Below are 20,490 nucleotides of genomic sequence, written 5' to 3'. Positions count from 1 at the left end.
ACTATAAAATTTAACATAAACTTAGTAATTCTAGATTAAAAATAGGAGATTGAAGTGATAAAACTAAAAAAAGATATATTTTTAAATATGCCTTTGGCTTCAGATCGTAATGTGGGAAAGAACTTGAACTTTGGATTCAGATAGACTTGGGGTTGTATCTGGATTCCACTATTATCCTGTACATCTTTGGCAAGTTACTATTAGTACCTGGACCCATTTGCTAGGTAGCAATAGAGATGAAGATTTATTTATTTATTTATTTTGAAATGGAATTTTGCTCTTGTTGCCCAGGCTGGAGTGCAATGGCGTGATCTCGGCTCACCTCAACCTCTGCTTCCTGGATTCAAGCGATTCTCCTCTCTCAGCCTCCCGAGTAGCTGGCATTACAGGCATGCGCCAGCACGCCCAGCTAATTTTGTATTTTTAGTAGAGACAGGGTTTCTCCATATTGGTCAGGCTGGTCTCGAACTCCCAACTTCAGGTGATCCACCTGCCTAGGCCTCCCAAAGTGCTGGGATTACAGGCGTGAACTACCACGCCTGGCTGAGATGAAGATTTTAAAGGGGAATCAGGTATGTTTTGATTTGCTAGTAAGGCTGGCACTGCTGAGGGAGTATGCCGTGCAGCAGTTCACAGGTTCCTCAGATTCTCAGAATCTCTTTCCTTGCTGAACTTTCCGGTCATTCTCAGCTCCACCCTCTAACTGCAGTATCAACTGAATCTCATGAAATGTTTTGGCGAAGCACTTCTTTCCAAGGATGTCAAAAATCTTCTGAGTTACCAGGAGGAAGTGGTTGCCTGTCAGGGCAGAGTCTTACTCTTGCATATATTTTAGTGATATATACTATATATAAACTCTTGGATTACAATATGGATGAGTTCTACTTTTATTCTAGTTTGTTCTTCAGGCTACTTATTCTGCTTAATTTCGGTTTGGAATTAAATATCTCAGTCTGTGCAACCTGTTTTTTAGTTTCTTGATTTAGAAGAATTATTAATCCCATAAGCAACTGTCAATAGAATGTATCTAATTCCTGTGAATCTTAGTTTCTTCATGTCTAAAATGGGGGATTTTTGGCATAGATTCACTATGACTTCATGAAATTTAGCTCAGAGTTTGTATCTGATATATTCACTATTGAATCCTTGGAATCTGTCTATATGGTGCTTGGAACAAAGTGGGCTGTTAATAAATTATTAAATAAATGCAAGAATTTACTTGAAATTGTTACTTTAACAATATTAGTAACATTATAAGGGAGTGGTATTTGTTTTGATAAAGTTTTTTTTTGTAGTAGAAGATTTTAAACTTTGTGTTCAGGCATATTCTTATTTGAAATATAAAATTAAAATTTGTGTGCTGGGCGTGGTGGCTGATGCCTGTAAACCCAGCACTTTGGGAGGCTGAGGCAAGAGGATCGCTTGAGCTCAGGAGTTTGAGACCAGCCTGGGCAAAATAGCAAGACCCAGTCTCATTAAATAAAAAAAAAAAAGAAGATTAAAAATTAAATTTTGTGGACTATTATCTAAAATTTTTGATCCATTCTGATTTTCCTTTCCATAACCATGTGTGATTTAATGAATAAGGGGTGGAAAATAGTCATTTGAATATACATTACTTGAATAGGAATTTGAGGTCATTACTAATCAAGTAATTATTTGAATAATATTTACTATTGTACCAATTACTATTCAAGTAATTTAATTTTGCATTTAATATTTGAGTATCTATTATAATCTAGGCATTGTGCTAAATGCTGAGGATGTAGTAGTGAATACAGTTTTTCCCTTTCCCTCAAGAAGTTTATAGTTTTGGAGGAGACAGACAAGAAAGCCATTTTCAACACTGTATAATCAAGACTGTGACAAAGTTAAGCACAGTGTGCTGGAGAAGCATCCAGCTCATACTTGGCAGTCTGGGAAGACTCTTTGGGGATTTTGTGGTAGCATAAATTTCAAAGCCTAATAGGGGCTAGCCAGGTGGAGAAGGGAGAATGTAGAAGGATATTTGGTCTGAAACAGCATGGAGGAAAGCCCAGACATGAGAGAGAGAGAGAGAGAGAGAGAGAGAGAGAGAGAGAGAGCAGTGCTCACCCTCTTAGTTTTATCAATAGTATTTGAGGAGTTGACTGTTTTAATTCCTTTAAGCCTACCAAACTGTAGTTATTAAAACAGCAATGTGTAAATTTTTGTTGTGTTCCACAAGTAAAATTTTGGGGCTTATTTAACTGCTGCAACTAGGGTTACCCTCACTAATGTGTGGAGAATAGAGGTACCGTTAAAAGTTGATGAAATGGCTGGGTGTGGTAGCTCACGCCTGTAATCCCAGCACTTTCGGAGGCTGAGGCGGGTGGATCACTTGAGCTCAGGAGTTGGAGACCAGCCTAGGCAACATGGCGAAACCCCATCTCTACTAAAAATACAAAAATTAGCCTGACGTGGTAGCGGGTGCCTGTAATCCCAGCTACTTGGCAGGCTGAGGCACGAGAATTGCTTGAACCTGGGAGGTGGAGGTTGCAGTGAGCCCCTGTCCTCCAGCCTGGGTGACAGAGGGAGATTGTCTCAAAAAAACAAACAAAAACAAAAAAACCAAAGTTGGTGAAACAAAAACTTATATGAATAATAATTTTTAAAGTAAACAGTAGATGAACTAAAAATGATCAAAAGGAGAGGAATGCTGGAAATGGAAGGTAAATGAGCTACAGTTTCATCCATTATACCGGAAAATCAATAATGCTTAAAGTTGGTAAGTCAAGAATAGTGGTATAAACACTTGAAGATAGAAAATACTCAAACAAAAACCAGAAAAAGTTAATAGTTGCATATGGGAAAGGTGAAGTATGGGTCAGAGGATTATTTATTTGATTATAATCTCTGCTATGTTTTTTGTGTTTTAGCGATATATATAAAATATATTAAAATAATTTAATAATTAAACTGAACTAGATTTTAAAAATATACTATACCTCCACCAGAATGGCTAAAATGAAGAAGACTGATAATACCATTGTTAATGAAGTTATGGAGTAACTGGTACTGATGGAAGCATGAAACGGTATAGCCACTTGGGCAAAAAGTTTGCAGTTTCTGATGAATTTATACATATACCTATTGCATGATCCAGCAATTCCATTTTTAAGTAATTTGTACCCAAGAGAAATTAATGCACATGACTACAAAAAACTTGTACAAGGATGTTCATAACAGCTTTATTCATAATAGCCCCAAACAAGGGAAAATCCAAATGTTCAGCCATAGGAGAGTGGATCAATAATTTATGGTGTATCCATAGACTGCATTAATATTAAACTCTAAAAAAGAAAATTGATGTACTTAATAACATGGATGAATCTCAGAAACATTAATTTAAATAAAAGAAGCCAGATACAAAATAACACATATGGGTATGGTTTTATTTATATGAAATTTAAGAGCAGACAGAAATACGTATTGTGATAGAAATCAGAATAGTGATTGCCTTGGGTGGGCAGGAGGGTTGAGTGGAAAGGAGTTCACAGAAACTTTACAGGGTAATGAAAATGTTGTATGTCTTCTGTTGCCCAGGCTGGAGTGCAGTGGCGCCATCTCAGCTCACTGCAACCTCCACCTTGCTGGGTTCAAGCGATTCTCCTTTCTCAGCCTCCCAAGTAGCTGGGATTACAGGCGTGCACCACCACACCTGGCTAATTTTTGTGTTTTTAATAGAGATGGGGTTTCACCGTGTTGGCCATGCTGGTCTCAAACTCCTGACCTCAAGTGATCCGCCTGCCTCGGCCCTCCACAAAGTGCTGGGATTACAGGTGTGAGCCACCCTTCCTGGACAAAATGTTGTATATCTTGGTTGGTGGTTACACAGGTGTTTATATCTGTCAAAATTCAAGCTGGTCACTTAAGACTTGTGCATTTTGCTGTATGTAAATTGTGCCACAATAAAATACTAGTAATATAAAAAATACAAAATAAAGACTAGAGAGATTGGTTCTTTAAAGGAATGGGAAAAGTCTAATATGGTTGCAAGGAAGAGTTGAGGGTAGAAAGGTTAAAATGTTAGCCTGGGGCCATCTTGAATGACTTTTTTTCTTGCCTTGTTGCCCACGCTGGAGTGTAGTGGTGTAATCTCTGTTCACTGCAACCTCTGCCTCCCAGATTCAAATGTTTTGTGTCTCCTGGGTTCAAGCGATTCTTGTGCTTCTTGTGCCTCAGCTTCCTGAGTAGCTGGGAATACAGGCATGCACCACCATACCCAGCTAAATTTTTTTTGGTATTTTTAGTAGAGACAGGGTTTTGCGCCGTGACAGCCAGGCTAGTCTCAAATTCCTAACCTAAAGTGATCCACCTGCCTCCATCTCCGAAAGTGCTGGGATTACAGGCATGAGCTACCATGCCCGGCCCTACCTTGAATGACTTTGTAAAAATGGAGGAATTGGTGAGAAGTATTTGAGATTTAAGAGAGATTTAGGAAACAAACCTTTTAGTGATGATTTCTCTGTTAGCTAGATGGCGCAGTTTACTGAGCAAAAGAGCCAAGGTGGGTGGGATGGGAGGGTTGGGTAAAAATGGTGACCTGAATTTCACAGATCTGATTACTTAGTTTTGGGAAAGATATAGAAGATTATATAATAGTAATATTACAACTAGAAATATAATAGTACTATCACCTTTCAAGGCATTATTATTGTGTAAATTATTGTGTGTCCCCTTCTGTTCCAGCTATTCATTATCCCTTCTCATTTGTCTTTATGAAGAGATACATGATTTGCCATTCATAGTCTATACAAAATACAACTATTGAACATTGGATAGTCTATGCAAATAGGATAGTCTATGCAAATAGGATAGATTGAATGGTTTTATTCAAGAGAATGACTGTCAGTATAAGTCTCCATATTTAATTTTAATGGCCAGTCATGTAGTATTGAAATAGCCAGTTAGACTCTTTCATGAGAGAGACTGGAAAAGACCCAGTGCTAGTATATTTTTCCTTTCTAAAAATTGAGATACAATTCACATACCGTAAAATCAGTCCTTTTAAGTTATATAATCCATTCATTTTTAGTGTTTTCACACGTCGTGCAACCATCACCACTGTCTCATTCCAGAACATTTTCATCATCCCACAAAGAAACTCTGTACCCAGTAGTAGTCATTTCCCATTACCCCTTCCCCTCCCCAACTCAGCCCTTGGCAACCACTAATCTAAATCTACTTTCTGCCTCTATGGATTTGCCTATCCAGTATTCTTTTTCAATTAGCCAGTCTCCAGCATCATCACAGCCAGTGATCCCACACTGAAGGTTGTGAAGATTGTTTTTCCTTGAGTCATTCTATAATCCAGTGATTTTCAGATTTTATGGCCCTACGTATCACCTGGGGATCTTGTTAAAATGCTAAAATGCAGATTCTCATTCAGCAGGCCTGGGAAAGAGCTTGATATTCTAAATTAATTTCTTTTCTTTTCTTTTCTTTTTTCTTTTCTTTTCTTTTCTTTTCCTTTCTTTTCTTTTCTTTCTTCCTTCCTTTTCTTTCTCTTTCTTTCTTTCTTTTTTTTGTTTGAGATGGAGTTTTGCTCTTGTCGCCCAAGCTGGAGTGCAATGGTGCTATCTCAGCTCACTGCAACCTCTGCCTCCCAGGTTCAAATGATTCTCCTGCCTCAGCCTCCCAAGTAGCTGGGATTACAGGCATGCGCCACCATGCCCGGCCAATTTCTGTATTTTTAGTAGAGATGGGGTATCACCATGTTGGCCAGGCTGGCCTCGAACTCATGACCTCAGGTAATAGGCCTGCCTTGGCCTCCCAAAGTGCTGGGATTACAGGTGTGAGCCACTGTGCCCAGCCGATACTCTAAATTTCTAATAAGCTCTTAGGTAATGCTGATGCTGCTGGTCCAAAGGTGACACTTTGACTACTGAGGTTCAAAGATGCCTCAGAAGAAGAAGAAATTTAATTACAAACATACATGAATTGTTGAATAGCAGCTGGTACTAATCTAGAAAAATTATTCCAATCTGTTGAGTTTAATAGTGTTTCTTTGTTAATTGCCTTTCAAAGTGATTACTTCTCCCCTACATCGTAACTATCTACATGTTATGGGACAGTTTATGGGCTTATTTGTATCCATAATTATGTTAGTGAAATCAAATAGTAAAGAAAGCTGAGTTAGAACCTGTTCCACAAGTATAACTTTGTTGTTTAAACTTCTTCTGATATTCAGCTCTAATTCCTTTTTGAAAGAAACTTTTCTACAGATTTTGTGTTAGATTACTGGTAGTCTCAAATGAGTTCTCTAACCATCCAATTCTGCATGGCTTCCTTGCATTGTCTTTGGGTTGATTAGGATTGCCAGGAAGTAAAATAGCCACTATAGCTACTTCCTTTTTCAAGTCATTCAAGTTAAGCTTAATGTAGAAAAACTTCGTGAGATTTCATTAAAATTCTTCCCTACTCTCCAATTGGAGTATAATAAATCCAATCAAGATAGGCTCTGGATTTTGCTGTTAGTACTCCAATGAAGGCAGAAATGGGGACATAGCAAACTACAGCAAGGCTTATTTTATACCAGTACAGAGCCTTGCTTATAACAGTGGAGGTATGTAGCTATTTAGTCTTGGGCCATCTATTACTCTCAGTCTGAGACCCAGTTATACAACCCAGTTGTATAACTCAATGGATTAATATTTCCAAATTAAATAAAACTGAATTGGGTACAGTATTGTGCTCCTGTAGTCCTGGCTACTTGGGAGGCTAAGGCAGGAGGATTGCTTGAGCCCAGGAGTTTGAGGCTGCAGTGTGCTACATTTGTGCTTGTGAATAGACACTGCACTCTAGCCTGGGCAACATAGCAAGACCTAGTCTCAAAAAATAAAAATAAAGTCTAGGCGTGGTGGCTCACGCCTGTAATCCCAGCACTTTGGGAGGCAGGTGGATCACTTGAGATCAGGCGTTCAAGCCAGTCTGGCCAACATAGTGAAACCCCATCTCTACTAAAAAAAAAAAAAAAAAAATACAAAAATTAGCTGGGCCTGGTGGCATGTGCCTGTAGTCCCAGCTACTTGGGAGGCTGAGGCATGAGACTCACTTGAACCCAGGAGGCAGAGGTTGCACTGAACTGAGATTGTGCCACTGCACTACAGCCTGGCTGGCAGAGCGATACTCTGTCTCAAAAATAAATAAACAAACAACAAAATAACATAAAATAAACTCCGTTTAATTTTTCCACTGTTCTTTATCTTAGTGTAAAAGTGTCTTAATATTTATCATAGTATGAGTACACAGTTTTTTTCAGTAACCTCTTGTCCAATAGAAGGTAGACATTTTAAATAATCAACATATATTTATTTAGTTCTACAAGCAATGGTTTGGGGGAGCAAATTCAGTTAACGGTAAAAAGCATGGGTTTAGTACCTGACAGATTTAGGTTCCTGTCCTAGCTCTTTTACTTACTAGGTCTGTGATCTTGTATAAATTACTAATCTCTTTTCACCTGTAAAAATAGGGAGAATAATAATTATTTATCTGTGGAAAGCACTTAACATAGTGCCTGGCATATAGGGTTCATTAAATATTAGACTATTATTATTAATCATTCAGGAGGTATACATTGCCTATTCTATGTGCTAGGCACTGTCTTTCAGAAGAGATTGTTAATGAACAAATATTCACACGAATATTCACACAAGATGATAAGAGCTAAGGAAAAGCTAGTATCATGGCAGGATAACAAGAGAAAGATTATCTAACTTTAGGGCATCAAGGAGGATTTCCCCAAGAAAGTAACATTTGTGCAGAGATTTGAAGGATGAGTGGGAGCTCATTAGGCAGAGTAGAGGGAACATTGTGTATAAGCATGACGCAGCATGCCACATTTGAGAGTATAGGAGATGCTGGTGTGCCTGAAGTGATGAGTGAGGATGAAAGTGACCTGAGAGGGGAAGACCCCCTAACAGGGCCAGGTCACATGCAGCTGTGTGGGCTGTGTTAATGATCTTGGGTTTTAGCAGGGAAATGACACAGTCAAATTAGTTTTTTTTTTTTTACCACTCTGACTATGGTATCAATAGATGAGAGTAAAGATAGAGGAGAAGATGTAGGGAGAGTAGTTAGAAAACCTCTGCAGCAATCAGACTAGGGAAGATAGACAGAAGTGGAAAAAAACTTAGAGATTTTTCCTGAGGGCAGATGGGTAGAAATTGATGAATTGGATATAGGCAGCAAGGGAGAGAGGTGGCAAAGATTTCCGTTTTTTCTGGCTTTGGCAGCTAATTTGACTTCTAATAGATAGCATGTGCTCTTTCTCTCTCTCTCTTTTTTTTTTTTTTTTGAGATGGAGTCTTGCTCTGTCACCCAGGCTGGAGTGCAGTGGTGCAATCTCAGCTCACTGCAACCTCCGCTTCCCAGGTTCAAGCAATTCTGCTGCCTTAGCCTCCTGAGTAGCTAGGATTACAGGTGCACGCCACCATGCCCGGCTAATTTTTGTATTTTTAGTAGAGACAGGGTTTCACCATGTTGCTCAGGCTGGTCTTGAACTCCCGACCTCGTGATCCCCCACCTTGGCCTCCCAAAGTGCTGGGATTACAGGTGTGAGCCACCATGCCTGGCCTTTCTCATTTTTTTTTTTTTTGAGACAGGGTCTTGCTCAGTTGCCCAGGCTGCAGTGCAGTGGCAGGATAATAGTGCTTTGCAGCCTCGATTTTCTGGCCTCCAATGATCCTCTTCAGTTTCCTGAGTAGCTGGGCTGGGACAATAGGGATTTACCACTATGCCTGGCTAATTTTCTTTCTTTCTTTCTTTTTTTTTTAGTAGAGATGAGGTCTCGGTATGTTGCCCAGGTTGGTCTCAAACTTCCGGGCTCAAGCAGTCTGCCTGCCTTGGCCTTCCAAAGTGCTGGGATTACAGGTGTCAGCTCCTGCACCTGGCCCAGTCGCTCTTCTTGAGAGAGGAATTCTAGAAGAGAACTAAGATGGAGAGGGCAGACAGAGATTTTCTTTTAAAAAAGACATCTTGAGTTTGAGAGTCCATTGAAACATTTAAGAGGAGGAAGAGACAATTATGATCTCAGTAATGAAGAGGATTATACAAGAGCAATATATGACATGCTTCTTTCCATCATGAACCTTATATGCTGGTCCAGAAGATAAGACACATTTTTGAATATAATTAATACTACAAGACTGTGATTGAAGGCATTCTGAAAGAGTAGGTACAGTAAGTGGAGTGAGGCCACTTTGGACATGATGATCTCAAAGTTTCAAAGATAAGGAAATACTTAAGATGGGCTTTAAAGGATTAGTAGTGTGGGAGGGAGGGAAAAGCACTCTAACAGTAAATGGAAAAATAGGTAGTTAGTGAAAGGGGTATGGCGAGGGTCTGGGTGGTTAGTTACTAGTTATAGAGCAATTTAGTATTCATCATAGCTCAACCAAGAATCTTTTGTATGTAATAATTTGACTTTTATAATGTGTTTTCATATATCTCATGAGAAATGGTCTTATATAACCTAATTCTGTCTTATGTCTCTGTCTTTCCTACTTATTGAAAAGTTCATATTATTGAAACCCAGTATTCTATTGTTGACCTATAATAAAACTATAAATATTATTCTCTGACAGAATGTTATGAAGATGTGCCACTGAATAATAGTTGTTCTTTCCAGCTTGATTATCTTAGAGGAAAAATGGCATGTGATTTAATTTATACGAGAGTACCTTGTAGACTTTATGGGATTATGAAAATGCAAAGTATTATTATTAATCCTTCCATATATTCCATGTTACTCTTCAGAACTTAGAAGTAAATATTTTTTGCTCTGTAGCAAAATGACTGCAATCAGTGGACTTTTTTCCAGCACCTTTGTAAAGTCTGGAGTCTAAAAAGCCCAGCTCTCTGTAGGCCAGGTTCATTTTTGGAAGTGTGTAGTGATCTATCTTTCCCACTCAATTGTGGTTTTGTTTGCTATTAACAAAAATATAGTTTTTTTGTTAACAGATAAAATTATAAGTCCAAACCACTAGTTCAAAATATTTTTCTAAATTAATTAAGATTTAAGATCCCTCCCCACCCTATTCACTTAGGTATCTATAACTGGGGCCATTTTCTAAATGGAACCTTTTCAGGCATTACTTGTATATCAATTATTACTTAATAATCCCCCCATTTTCTTTAGGCTTGAGTTGAAAGAACACTTATATTTGATTCAGATGGCTTTCTAGGACTATGAATAGAGATAGTGTTTCAGAGTTTCAACACACATCAGTGTCCTTTCCTTTCTGATTTTCTGGGACAAGGACCTGGTAACATCTGTTTATTCTTACTCAAAATGCTTGCATTAATTTACCTTTGCTAATTATCTCCTAAAGTATTCCCTAATACTTTCCTTCCCATCTACAGAAAAAGTATGTGAAATGCTTTTGCTGCATGATTATAACATGATTATAACAGTTGCATCATGAAATACTAGGATTATCTTTTTTTCCCAATCAGATAAGATAGTTTCCTTTCATTTTTCTTTACCTTATTGTTCTTTGAAGCTACTGGTGTTTTAAAAATGGTATTAAAATGTTGTTCCCATAGCAACACCCTACTAGTTTCTTATGGAAAACATGGCGTGTTTTACAAGTTGGATTGAAAAAAAAAGAAATGCTTTCTGAAAGAGTTTATTTATAAAATCAAGCCCATAGAACATAACTGTTTATTTCTTTTAGAAGCATTGTTAAGCAGAATGTAACAAAGGATTTTACACTTTGATGTAAATAAAGTGTGTTTCCTATCTTGCTTATGTAAAAGTTTATCTTTGAATTTGTATTAAGTCAACATTTCCCCTCTCATAATTAGACTTGAACAATTTAAATAAAAAACTTAAGTACTGCCAAATTTTAGTGAAATAATTTCTAGGTTCTATTTAAAGGTGCTTATTGTCTGTACCCAGAAGCTGATTGGCTGCTTATGAGACTGTTAGTGCAATGCCCATATTACCCTTGTGATGATTTCTCAGCCAATTAGGCTGCACGAGGGATGATGGATTTTGTTCAGGATCTGTTTCTCTCTCTCTCTCTCTGCCCCTCTCTCTCTGTCTACTGATTTTGTAAAATCAATGCTAAGATATTTTAAATCTTTTTGCATTTAAATTATATAAATTGTGTTACCCATTTTATGCTGTTTCTTACTATCTGTGTTTAGTAATATTCAGTTTCATCTCAACATTTGAGTCATTATTTTTCTGAGAGGGTTTAGGGAAGATATTATATTTATAATTAAAATTATTAATCCCATGTTTTCCTCTTCTGTTTGCTTAGTTCTCTCTCACTAAATTTAGTTTAATTTCTATTACCTCAGTCTTTTGGGATTTTTTAACATCCAAAAGCATTATCTATTCCATATTCTAGTTTGGCTACTGTTCTCTATCCTTTGTTGCTGTGGTTTTTGAAAGCTACAGAGCCATAAGATATCCTTTGAAACTAACATAAATTATATTTTATGGAGATTAGAGATTTAATGTACTTTAATTATTTGCTCATTCAACAAATTCCAGATGCTGGAGATATAATAGTGAAAAATGCATACAATAATAATTCTGTACTTTTGGAGCTCACATAGTAGGTATCAGTTGGAGACACTTTGATTTTGCTTACTTGGTTGTATTCATTTCTGTATTCACAGTGCCATTTTGAAAGACTCCAATAGCTGGTACCCTTCCCATATCTGTATAATTTAGAATTCTGAGTAATTTTGTATATTTCATTTTCCACCTAGGTGTTTATATATTAATACTTCTGATATTGCACTGTAGTTTTAGACATACTTAATTCCGGCACAGAAACAATAAAAAAAAAAGATCTTATCTAGCTATCTAATAAATTTAGAAGAGATCTTTTATGTAATAGTTGAAGATTCACCGTACTTGATTGCCAAGTCTTCTATGTTTTTTCTTTCAAAAAGCTTTTCAACTTTAGCTTTTTCATTTTTACTTTTAGTGCACCTTTATTATCTTGTTGTGCCTAAACTTTAGTGTCTGTTCTCCTTGCCTCTCTGCCAGCCTATCCTAAACAAAGCCACTGGACTGATCTCAAATTTTAGATACAGTTGTGTCACTATTCTGCTCCAGAACTTTTCCAGGTAGACCGAGAACCATACAGTAAAATTTGGGGAGGAAGATTGGACAGTCCACCTTGGTGTCCCTAAGGATGAGCAGGGCAGTGCGGTCAGTCATACTCCCTTACCACATTATGTACTTGTTTTGTTGGTATTTTTTTTTTTAAGGTGGAGTTTCGCTCTTGTTGCTTAGGCTGCAGTGCAATGGCGTGATCTCAGCTCACTGCATCCTCCGCCTCCCGGGTTCAAGTGATTCTCCTGCCTCAGCCTTCCCAAGTAGCTGGGATTACAGGCATGCGCCACCACGCCTGGCTAATTTTTGTATTTTTAGTAGAGACAGGGTTTCTCTGTGTTGGTCAGGCTGGTCTCGAACTCCTGCCCTCAGGTGATCCACCCGCCTCGGCCTCCCAAAGTGCTGGGATTACAGGCATGGGCCACTGTGCCTGGCCCTATAATGGCTAGTTTTTAAAATTACTTTCTTTTAAACTAGTTTTTTTTTTTTTTTTAAGAATGTTGGTATGTTTTCCAGTCTTAGCTTGTGCAGTAAATGATTACTATCAATTGTAGACCACATATAAAAGATATATTCAGTATTATTGGATTTTGTTAATCATTTTTTTCTAGATAACGGGAAGAGAATATTCTACACTTGATCTTAGCCAAAAGGCCGAGAAGCGATGAGAATATTCTAATACTCAGCAAGGGAAGAAACATCACAATTTGTATTAACAATTTAGCTAGCTAGCATTTAAGCCTGTGGGCATGGCTTTGTTCATATAATTTCTGTGAGACTTATTTAAGAGCTGAAGTATAAAAAGGCCTTTAATTGTCATTTGTGAAAATCAGGAGTGATTAGTGTAAGTTTGTTTTATTTAGAACTTTTGGTGGTGGACACAAGAGAAAATCCGTATGTAATTTTATTGCATTTACTTTGTTGGTATTTTGTAGGTCAGGAACCTAGCATTGTTTAGACTAAAAAATATCCAATTTTAGAGATGGGGTTAACTTTTTCCCCTAATATATTTATTATTGTTAATACTGCTGTTTAACACTCATTCCAAAACTTAGTGGCATGAAACACTTTTTATTATGCACATCGATTCTGCAAGTTGTGCCCTCTGAAAGGGCACAGTGGGGATAGATTTTTCTCAGCCATGTGGTGACTGGGATCTCAGTTGGGAAGACTGGAAAGTTGAGATTGACACACTTGACTCCTGGGGGCCAAAATAGTTTGATGGCTTTTTCACCAACATGTCTGGTACCTAGGCTAGCATTGTTGACCAGACTGCCTTCATGTGGCCTTGCTTGTGTATAACCTGGCGGCCTCGAATGTTAAAGTGAACAAGGACAAATCTGCGTTTTTTTTTTTGTTTTTTGTTTTTTTTGACAAAGCCTTGAAAGCTGAGCATTGTCATTTCCACAGCCTTCTATTGGTTACAAGTGCACACTCAGACAGAGGAGGGGAATTAGACTTCACCTCTTGCTGAGGGAGTTGACAAGGTTTTGGAAGAGCCTGTGGTACAAAGATACTGTTGTGACCATCTTTAGAAAAGACATTCTGTCACAATAGTTAAATAGTTGCCACTGTTGTTTGTTTTGAATATGTATTTTATAATAACATTAGAGATAGAAGATCAGGAATCCTTTTTTTTTTGAGATAGGGTCTCACTCTGTCACCCAGGCTGTAGTACATTGGCACGATCATGGCTCACTGCCACCACAACCTCCCCAGACTCAGGTGATCCTCCCTCCTCAGCCTCCTTAGTAGCTGGGACTACAGGCATGTGCCACCATGCCTAGCTAATTTTTGTAAGGACTGGGTCTCCTTATGTTGCCTAGGCTAGGAATTCTTTATCTTATTCCAGGACTTTGAGGAGAGGTCTGTAAACTGAAATTTGACAGTATTTTTTTAGAAAGTATTTTTTAAATGTATTTTCCTATTAATTTGAAAATTAAATATTTAAAACTTTTTTTTTTTTTTTTAAACAAAGATGAGATCTCACTATATTGCCTAGGCTGGCCTCAAACTCCTGAGTTCCACTGATCCTCCTGCCTTGGCCTCCCAAAGTGCTAGGATTATAAGCATGAGCCACCGTACCCGGCCAAAACATTTTTTTTAAGTCAAAATTGCTTAGGAATTTGTTTCCCATCTCTTACTTTAAATAAGTATAGGTTGCTTATTTTGGCAGCACTAAAATTGGAATGATACAGAGATTAGCATGGCCCCTGTGCAAAGATGACATGCAAATTTGTGAAGAGTTCCATATTTAAAAAAAAATAATAAAAATTTAAAAACTCCACAAGTGTAGGGTATTGTGGATTGCTAGCATATCCATTTAGATTATGTGCAGTTTTAATTATTGCTTTATGTGAAGACTGTATAAAACAGTTTTCCATTGAGAGGAATCGTTTAAAATTTGCCATGTCATATGTTATTTATGCAGGTTCTAGTTTAAATCTAAAAAAATCCTACACATACACAGATAAGAGAAATTATAAGAAGAAAAGAAAAAGTAGGATAAACTTGTGTGTCCTTTGATCTTACTCTTTTTTTTTTGAGATGGAGTCTCACTCTGTTGCCCAGGCTGGAGCGCAATGGCGTGATCTCGGCTCACTGCAACCTCTGTCTCCCTGGTTCAAGTGATTCTCCGGCCTCGGCCTCCCGAGTTGCTGGGATTACAGGCGCGCACCACCACGCCTGGCTAATTTTTGTATTTTTTTGTAGAGACGAGGTTTCACCATGTTGGTCAGGCTGATCTCAAATCCTTGATTTGTGATCTGCCTGCCTCGGCCTCCAAAAGTGCTGGGATTACAGGCGTGAGCTGCCATGCCCGGCCTGATCTTACTCTTAAGAATGAATGTGCAAGGAAACACAAGTCATGTTTTTCTTATCTGGCAAGGGTTTTATTAATGGAAGCAAGAGGCCAACAAAGCTGAAGAAACCCTTTTATGTGCCTAGCCAGAAACTAATGGGCCTTGGGAATCCTTTTATCTGGTAAGAAGGTGACTTAATTTGAAAAGGCTGGGAACCTTACCTAAACTTGAATTTGCGCCCCCACAAAAGTTATCTTAGAAAATCTTGCAAGCAAAAGAAGTGATATGGTTGGAGAGGCCTTGGTGAAGTCCTCCAAACTCTGGATGGTTTGTGGTTGGGTGCAGGGGAAAAATGAAGGCCTCTAACATATGATATTACTCCTCTAGAATTGTTGACTTTTTTATTTCCTTGGAGTCTCTCAAATCAAGGTTTTATTAATTAATTAATTAATTTCTATTTTTATTTTTTGAGACAGTCTCACTCTGTCACCCAGACTGGAGTGCAGTGGTGCAATCTTGGCTCACTGCAACCTCCGCCTCCCGGGTTCAAGCGATTCTCCTGCCTCAGCCTCCTGAGTAGCTGGGACTACAGGCGCCTGTCACCACGACCAGCTAATTTTTTTGTATTTTTAGTAGAGTCGGGGTTTCACCATGTTGGTCAGGCTGGTGTCAAACTGCTGACCTCAGGTGATCTGCCCACCTTGGTCTCCCAAAGTGCTGGGATTACAGGTGTGGGCCACCACGCCTGACCCCAAATCAAGGTTTTACAGGAATTGGCAACTGTGACATTTGACGTGTATAGCATGTAACCAAATGAAATTTTTTTTTTTTTTTTTTTTGAGACAGAGTCTAGCCCTGTTATTCAGGCTGGAGTGCCAGTCGTGTGATCTCAGCTCACTGCAGCCTCTGCTTCCCGGGTTCAAGCGATTCTCCTGTCTCAGCCTCCCAAGTAGCTGGGACTACAGGTGTGCACCACCACACCCTGCTAAGTTTTGTACTTTTGTTAGAGACAGGGTTTCACCATGTTGGCCAGACTGGTCTCGAATTCCTGACCTCAGGTAATCTGCCTGCCTTGGCCTCCCAAAGTGTTGGGATTACAGACATGAGCCACCCTTGCCTGGCCCAAATGAAATTCTGATGTATCTTAGTGAAGCTAGCTTCTCTTTTTTGTCGTTTAACAGCATGCTAATGCCATCAAATAATTACTGTTTTGTGAACACATTTTGGAAACTGGAAAGACCATTGAGACGTAAAACAGTGAAAAGTGGCTTGCCAGCAAAACTGATTGAGTACCTGACAGCACATCTGGTTTTGCTGCTTTGGTGAAGGGAGAAGCTCCACGAGCCACTATGAATCATTGCTTTTACATTGGCATCAAAGACTCTGCCAAAGATCGTGAAAGAAGTCTTGTCTAAGGTCTCTAAAGTCACATTTTAACCTAGTCAGGGCTTTGAATCACTGCCTTGTCAAGAACTTCTCTTGAGAAATAGGAGAGGATTATGAGGTTATTTTCTATTGCAGAGAAGTTCATTGATTCTGTAAAGAACAAGTATCAAAGTACTGGGAATTCTGGTTCTCTTTGCTGCTACATGACTTCATGAATCAGGGTTTTCAGAACACTTGGGGCAATCAGTTGGATTGTTAAACCCACTGCCATGGCAGAGCACAGTGGCTCATGCCTGTAATCCCAGCATTTTGGGAGGCCGAAGCAGGGGGGGGGTGGGGGGGGGGGGGCGGATCACAAGGTCAGGAGTTCAAGACCAACCTGACCAACATGGTGAAACGCCGTCTCTACTAAAAATACAAAAATTAGCTGGACATGGTGGCGCATGCCTGTAATCCCAGCTACTCAGGAGTCTGAGGCAGGAGAATCGCTTGAACCTGGGAGGCGGAAGTTGCAGTGAGCCCAGATTGCGCCACTGCACCCCAGCCTGTGTGACAGAGTGAGACTCTGTCTCAAAACAAAACAAAACAAAAAAACCATACTGCTTACTATTCTAACTCTTTATTTAAGAGAAACAGTAGCAGCTTTCTAATTGAAATAGGTTTTTGTGGAATCTGTTTTTATTTTCCTTTAACTGTATTATCTTTTCTAGTCTAAGCATCTTTTTTACATTAGGAGAGTTTAATCTGTTTACATGAATGTATTTATTCATATGTTTAGATTTATTTATTTATTTTTTGAGTTGGGGTCTCACCCTGTCACCCAGGCTGGAGTGCAGTGGTAAGATCATGGCTTACTGCAGCTTCCATCTCCCATGCTAAAGTGCTCCCCTCACCTCAGCTTCCCACATAGCTGGGACTGCAGGCATAGGCATAGTGGGACCCTGTCTCTACCAAAAATTTAAAAATTAGCCACCATGCCTGGTTGTTTTTAAAATTTTTTGTAGAGACAGGGTTTACTGTGTTGCCCAGGCTGGTCTCAAAACTCCTGGGCTCAAGTGATCTTCCTACCTCAGCCTCCCAAAGTGTTAGGATTATAGGCATGGGCTACCGCACCTGGCCTAGAATTATTTCTGCTATCTTGTGGTGTTTTTTGTCTCATGCTTTCCCTCCACCTTCTTTTCTGACTTGTGTAACATTAATTGAATTTTTCTTATTTCTTTTTTCTCCCTGAACTAATGATTTGAAAATGACTTATACTCTTTCTAATTTAGTAGTTACGCTTGCATTTTTACATACATATTTGACTTAAATATTCGAGTCCTCCCAGCTTCTGCCAGAGTAGTACAAGGACTTTAGAACTCTTTACCTCATATCTTTCCCTCCTGCTATTTCTTTCTATTATTTTAGCTCTACCTTGTTTTCACTTAACTGCTCCACACTCTACCCCAACTTTATATATTTTAGTTCCTTTACAGTCAGGGCTTATTTGGATTGACGTATATGATTTTGCTTTTTTGCATATACTCCTTATTTTGGTATATCTTTTAGTGATTCTTTCAGCAACTATCTGTGAATGGCAATTTTTTTCACTTGTTGCCTGAAAATGTCTTTATTTTGCCCTCATTTTAAAAAATATAATTTAGCTTGATAAAGAATTAGAAGGGTTTTTTTTTTTTTTTTTTGGACTTTGAAGATTTCTCCGTGGTTCTCTGGCTTTGGTTATTGCTGATATGATGTCAGCCATCAGTGTAATAGTCTTGCCTTTCTAGGTAAATTTTTCTCTCTGTGTGTGATTTTAAGGTTTTCTCTTTGCTTTTGTTCTACACACTATACACAACACAATCCCAGGACATACAACAAGCTTCCTTACTGCCTCCCCAGGCCAGGCCAGTTGATAGAGTTTTCCTAGTCTTGTTTTCACTGACATAGTAGCTCTTCCTAGGGCTCTGGACTCTGCAGGAGGCTAATTCCACACCTCGAATATATACACCTAAGGCGTCGTCATCTGTTTTTGAGTGGCGGTTTAGACCCCCAGCTTCTAGGGCCTATATCCAAATTTCAAATCCTCCTGGGCTTTATACATCAGCCCACTGCATTATTTTGGCTTTCATTTGTTCCTGGTACCTGGTGTCTTAGTCCATTTGGGCTGCTCCAACAAAACACTTTGGACTGGGTAACTTACAGGCAACAGAAATTTGGGGTCAAGATCAAGGTGCCGGCAGATTGGGTGTCTGGTGAGGGCTTGCTCTCTGCCATCATAAATGGAGCCTTTTTATGGTGGCCTCACGTGGCAGAAGGGACAAACAGGCTCCTTTAGGCCTGCTTTACAAAGGCACTAATCTCTGTAATCCCAGCACTTTGGGAGGCCGAGGCGGGCAGATCACCTGTGGTCGGGAGTTTGAGACCAGCGTGACCAAAATGGAGAAACCCCATCTCTACTAAAAATGCAAAATTAGCTGGGCATGGTGGTACATGCCTGTAATCCCAGCTACGTGGGAGGCTGAGGCAGGAGAATTGCTTGAACCCAGGAGGCAGAGGTTGCGGTGAGCCAAGATCGTGCCCTTGCATTCCAGCCTGGGCAACAAGAGCAAAACTCCACCTGAAAACAAAACAAAACAAAAAAACAAAGGCACTAATCTCATTCATGAGGATGCCACCCTCTGAACTTAATCACCCCCGAAAGGCCCCACTTCTTAATAAAACCATAGTAACCAGGAATTTTCCTTTTTGACTTTTCACATGTACCGTTTAAAATGTGTTTAATGAGGGAAATAAAGAAAATGAGACAGTCTTGAAAAGATGAGTCATAATGGAATTAGAGACCTTTGAAACATGGAGAATTTATTTCTCTATCTCATGAGATTTCTGGAGCGTTAGTATAAATGTATATACTACAAATGTATGTACTACCTGTCAGTTGAAATATATAATATGTCCACAGCTCTAAGGGCTCATTGACTGATTGTCTGCTTTATTCCATAAAAAGATTTAAAGTGGTATTTTGAGATATATATATCAAAATATATCAATGTATATACAGGGGCCCAAGTATATCATTCATAAGGGATATATACATATGTATCTATATATGTGATATATAGATATATATCATATAAGCACTCCTGTATAAAAAAATAAAGCAAGCCACAAAACTCATACGTTCTATTTATTCATTTATTTATTATTTATTTTTGAGAGAGAGTCTTGCTCTGTTGCCCAGGCTGAAGTGCAGTGGCATGATCTCAGCCCCAACCTGTGCCTCCCAGGTTCCAGTGATTCTCCTGCCTCAGCCTCCAGAGTAGCTGGGACTACAGGCACATGCCACCATGCCCAGCTAATTTTTGTATTTTTAGTAGAGACGAGGTTTCACTGTGTTGGCCAGGGTGGTCTCAAACTCCTGACCTCGTGATCCGTCCACCTCGGCCTCCCAAAGTGCTGGGATTTTAGGCGTGAGCCACTGCACCCTGCCACATTCTATTTATTAAAAGTGTCAATCACTGGACCACTGGATCACTGGACCAATATATATATTTATTGATATATTGATATACAGAGAAGAATATATAGAGAGTAGAGATACACGTAGATCTCTTTCTCTCTCTTTGTTCTCTATATATCTATATCTATATATCCCTTATGAAATTACCTGAGCACTGTTTCATGTTTAACTTGAGGAATTTTTCAAAGCCTGGGACTATTCTAGGCATGTTCAGATAATGTTTGAATATTCTAGAAAGATTATTTAATACTTCTATAATCTTTTTGTAGAAAGATTCTTTGCCATGATCTAAGACAGTGGTTTTCAAAGTGTGGTTTCCGAGTCCTCAGCACCAGCATCACCTGGGATCATACAGTGTGTACTGTTCCTAAGTCATTTGTTAGGTTTTTTTTTCTTTGTTACAATTTTTCAATTAAAGTTTGATAAAATATTTGAACTCATAGGTGGTCCAGTGATTAATACTTTTAATAAATAGAAAGTATGAGTTTTGTGGCTTGCTTTTTTTTATATATAGAAATGCTTATTAATTCTACAGTGTAATATCATGCTACGTACTCTAATAAAAATTATGTATGTGTTTGCATATTTATGTTTTCCTTATACTTGAGCATCCTTCATTTTTAAAAGAACATTTTTTAAAGTTAAATGTTAGATATGGAATTAAAGAAATATGTTATATCTTTAAATTAATTATCTTATTTTAAAAA

At 38.6% G+C, this 20,490-nt stretch overlaps 1 protein-coding gene and 2 pseudogenes across 15 annotated transcripts in view; 2 read left to right on the top strand and 1 right to left on the bottom strand.

Annotated features, from left to right (window-relative positions):
- Positions 1–20,490, top strand: part of CDK19 (cyclin dependent kinase 19) — a 205,878-nt gene that overhangs the window by 79,251 nt on the left and 106,137 nt on the right. The gene's annotated exons all lie outside the window — the stretch shown is intronic.
- Positions 12,600–12,763, bottom strand: LOC124901502 (uncharacterized; annotated as a pseudogene).
- On the top strand, positions 14,257–14,355 carry RNU6-957P (RNA, U6 small nuclear 957, pseudogene; annotated as a pseudogene).

This window comes from Homo sapiens, chromosome 6 (assembly GCF_000001405.40).
Source record: "Homo sapiens chromosome 6, GRCh38.p14 Primary Assembly".
NCBI lineage: Eukaryota > Metazoa > Chordata > Mammalia > Primates > Hominidae > Homo > Homo sapiens.
The sequence above is the reverse complement of the archived record's forward strand: the minus strand, read 5'-3'. Positions and strand labels throughout refer to the sequence as shown.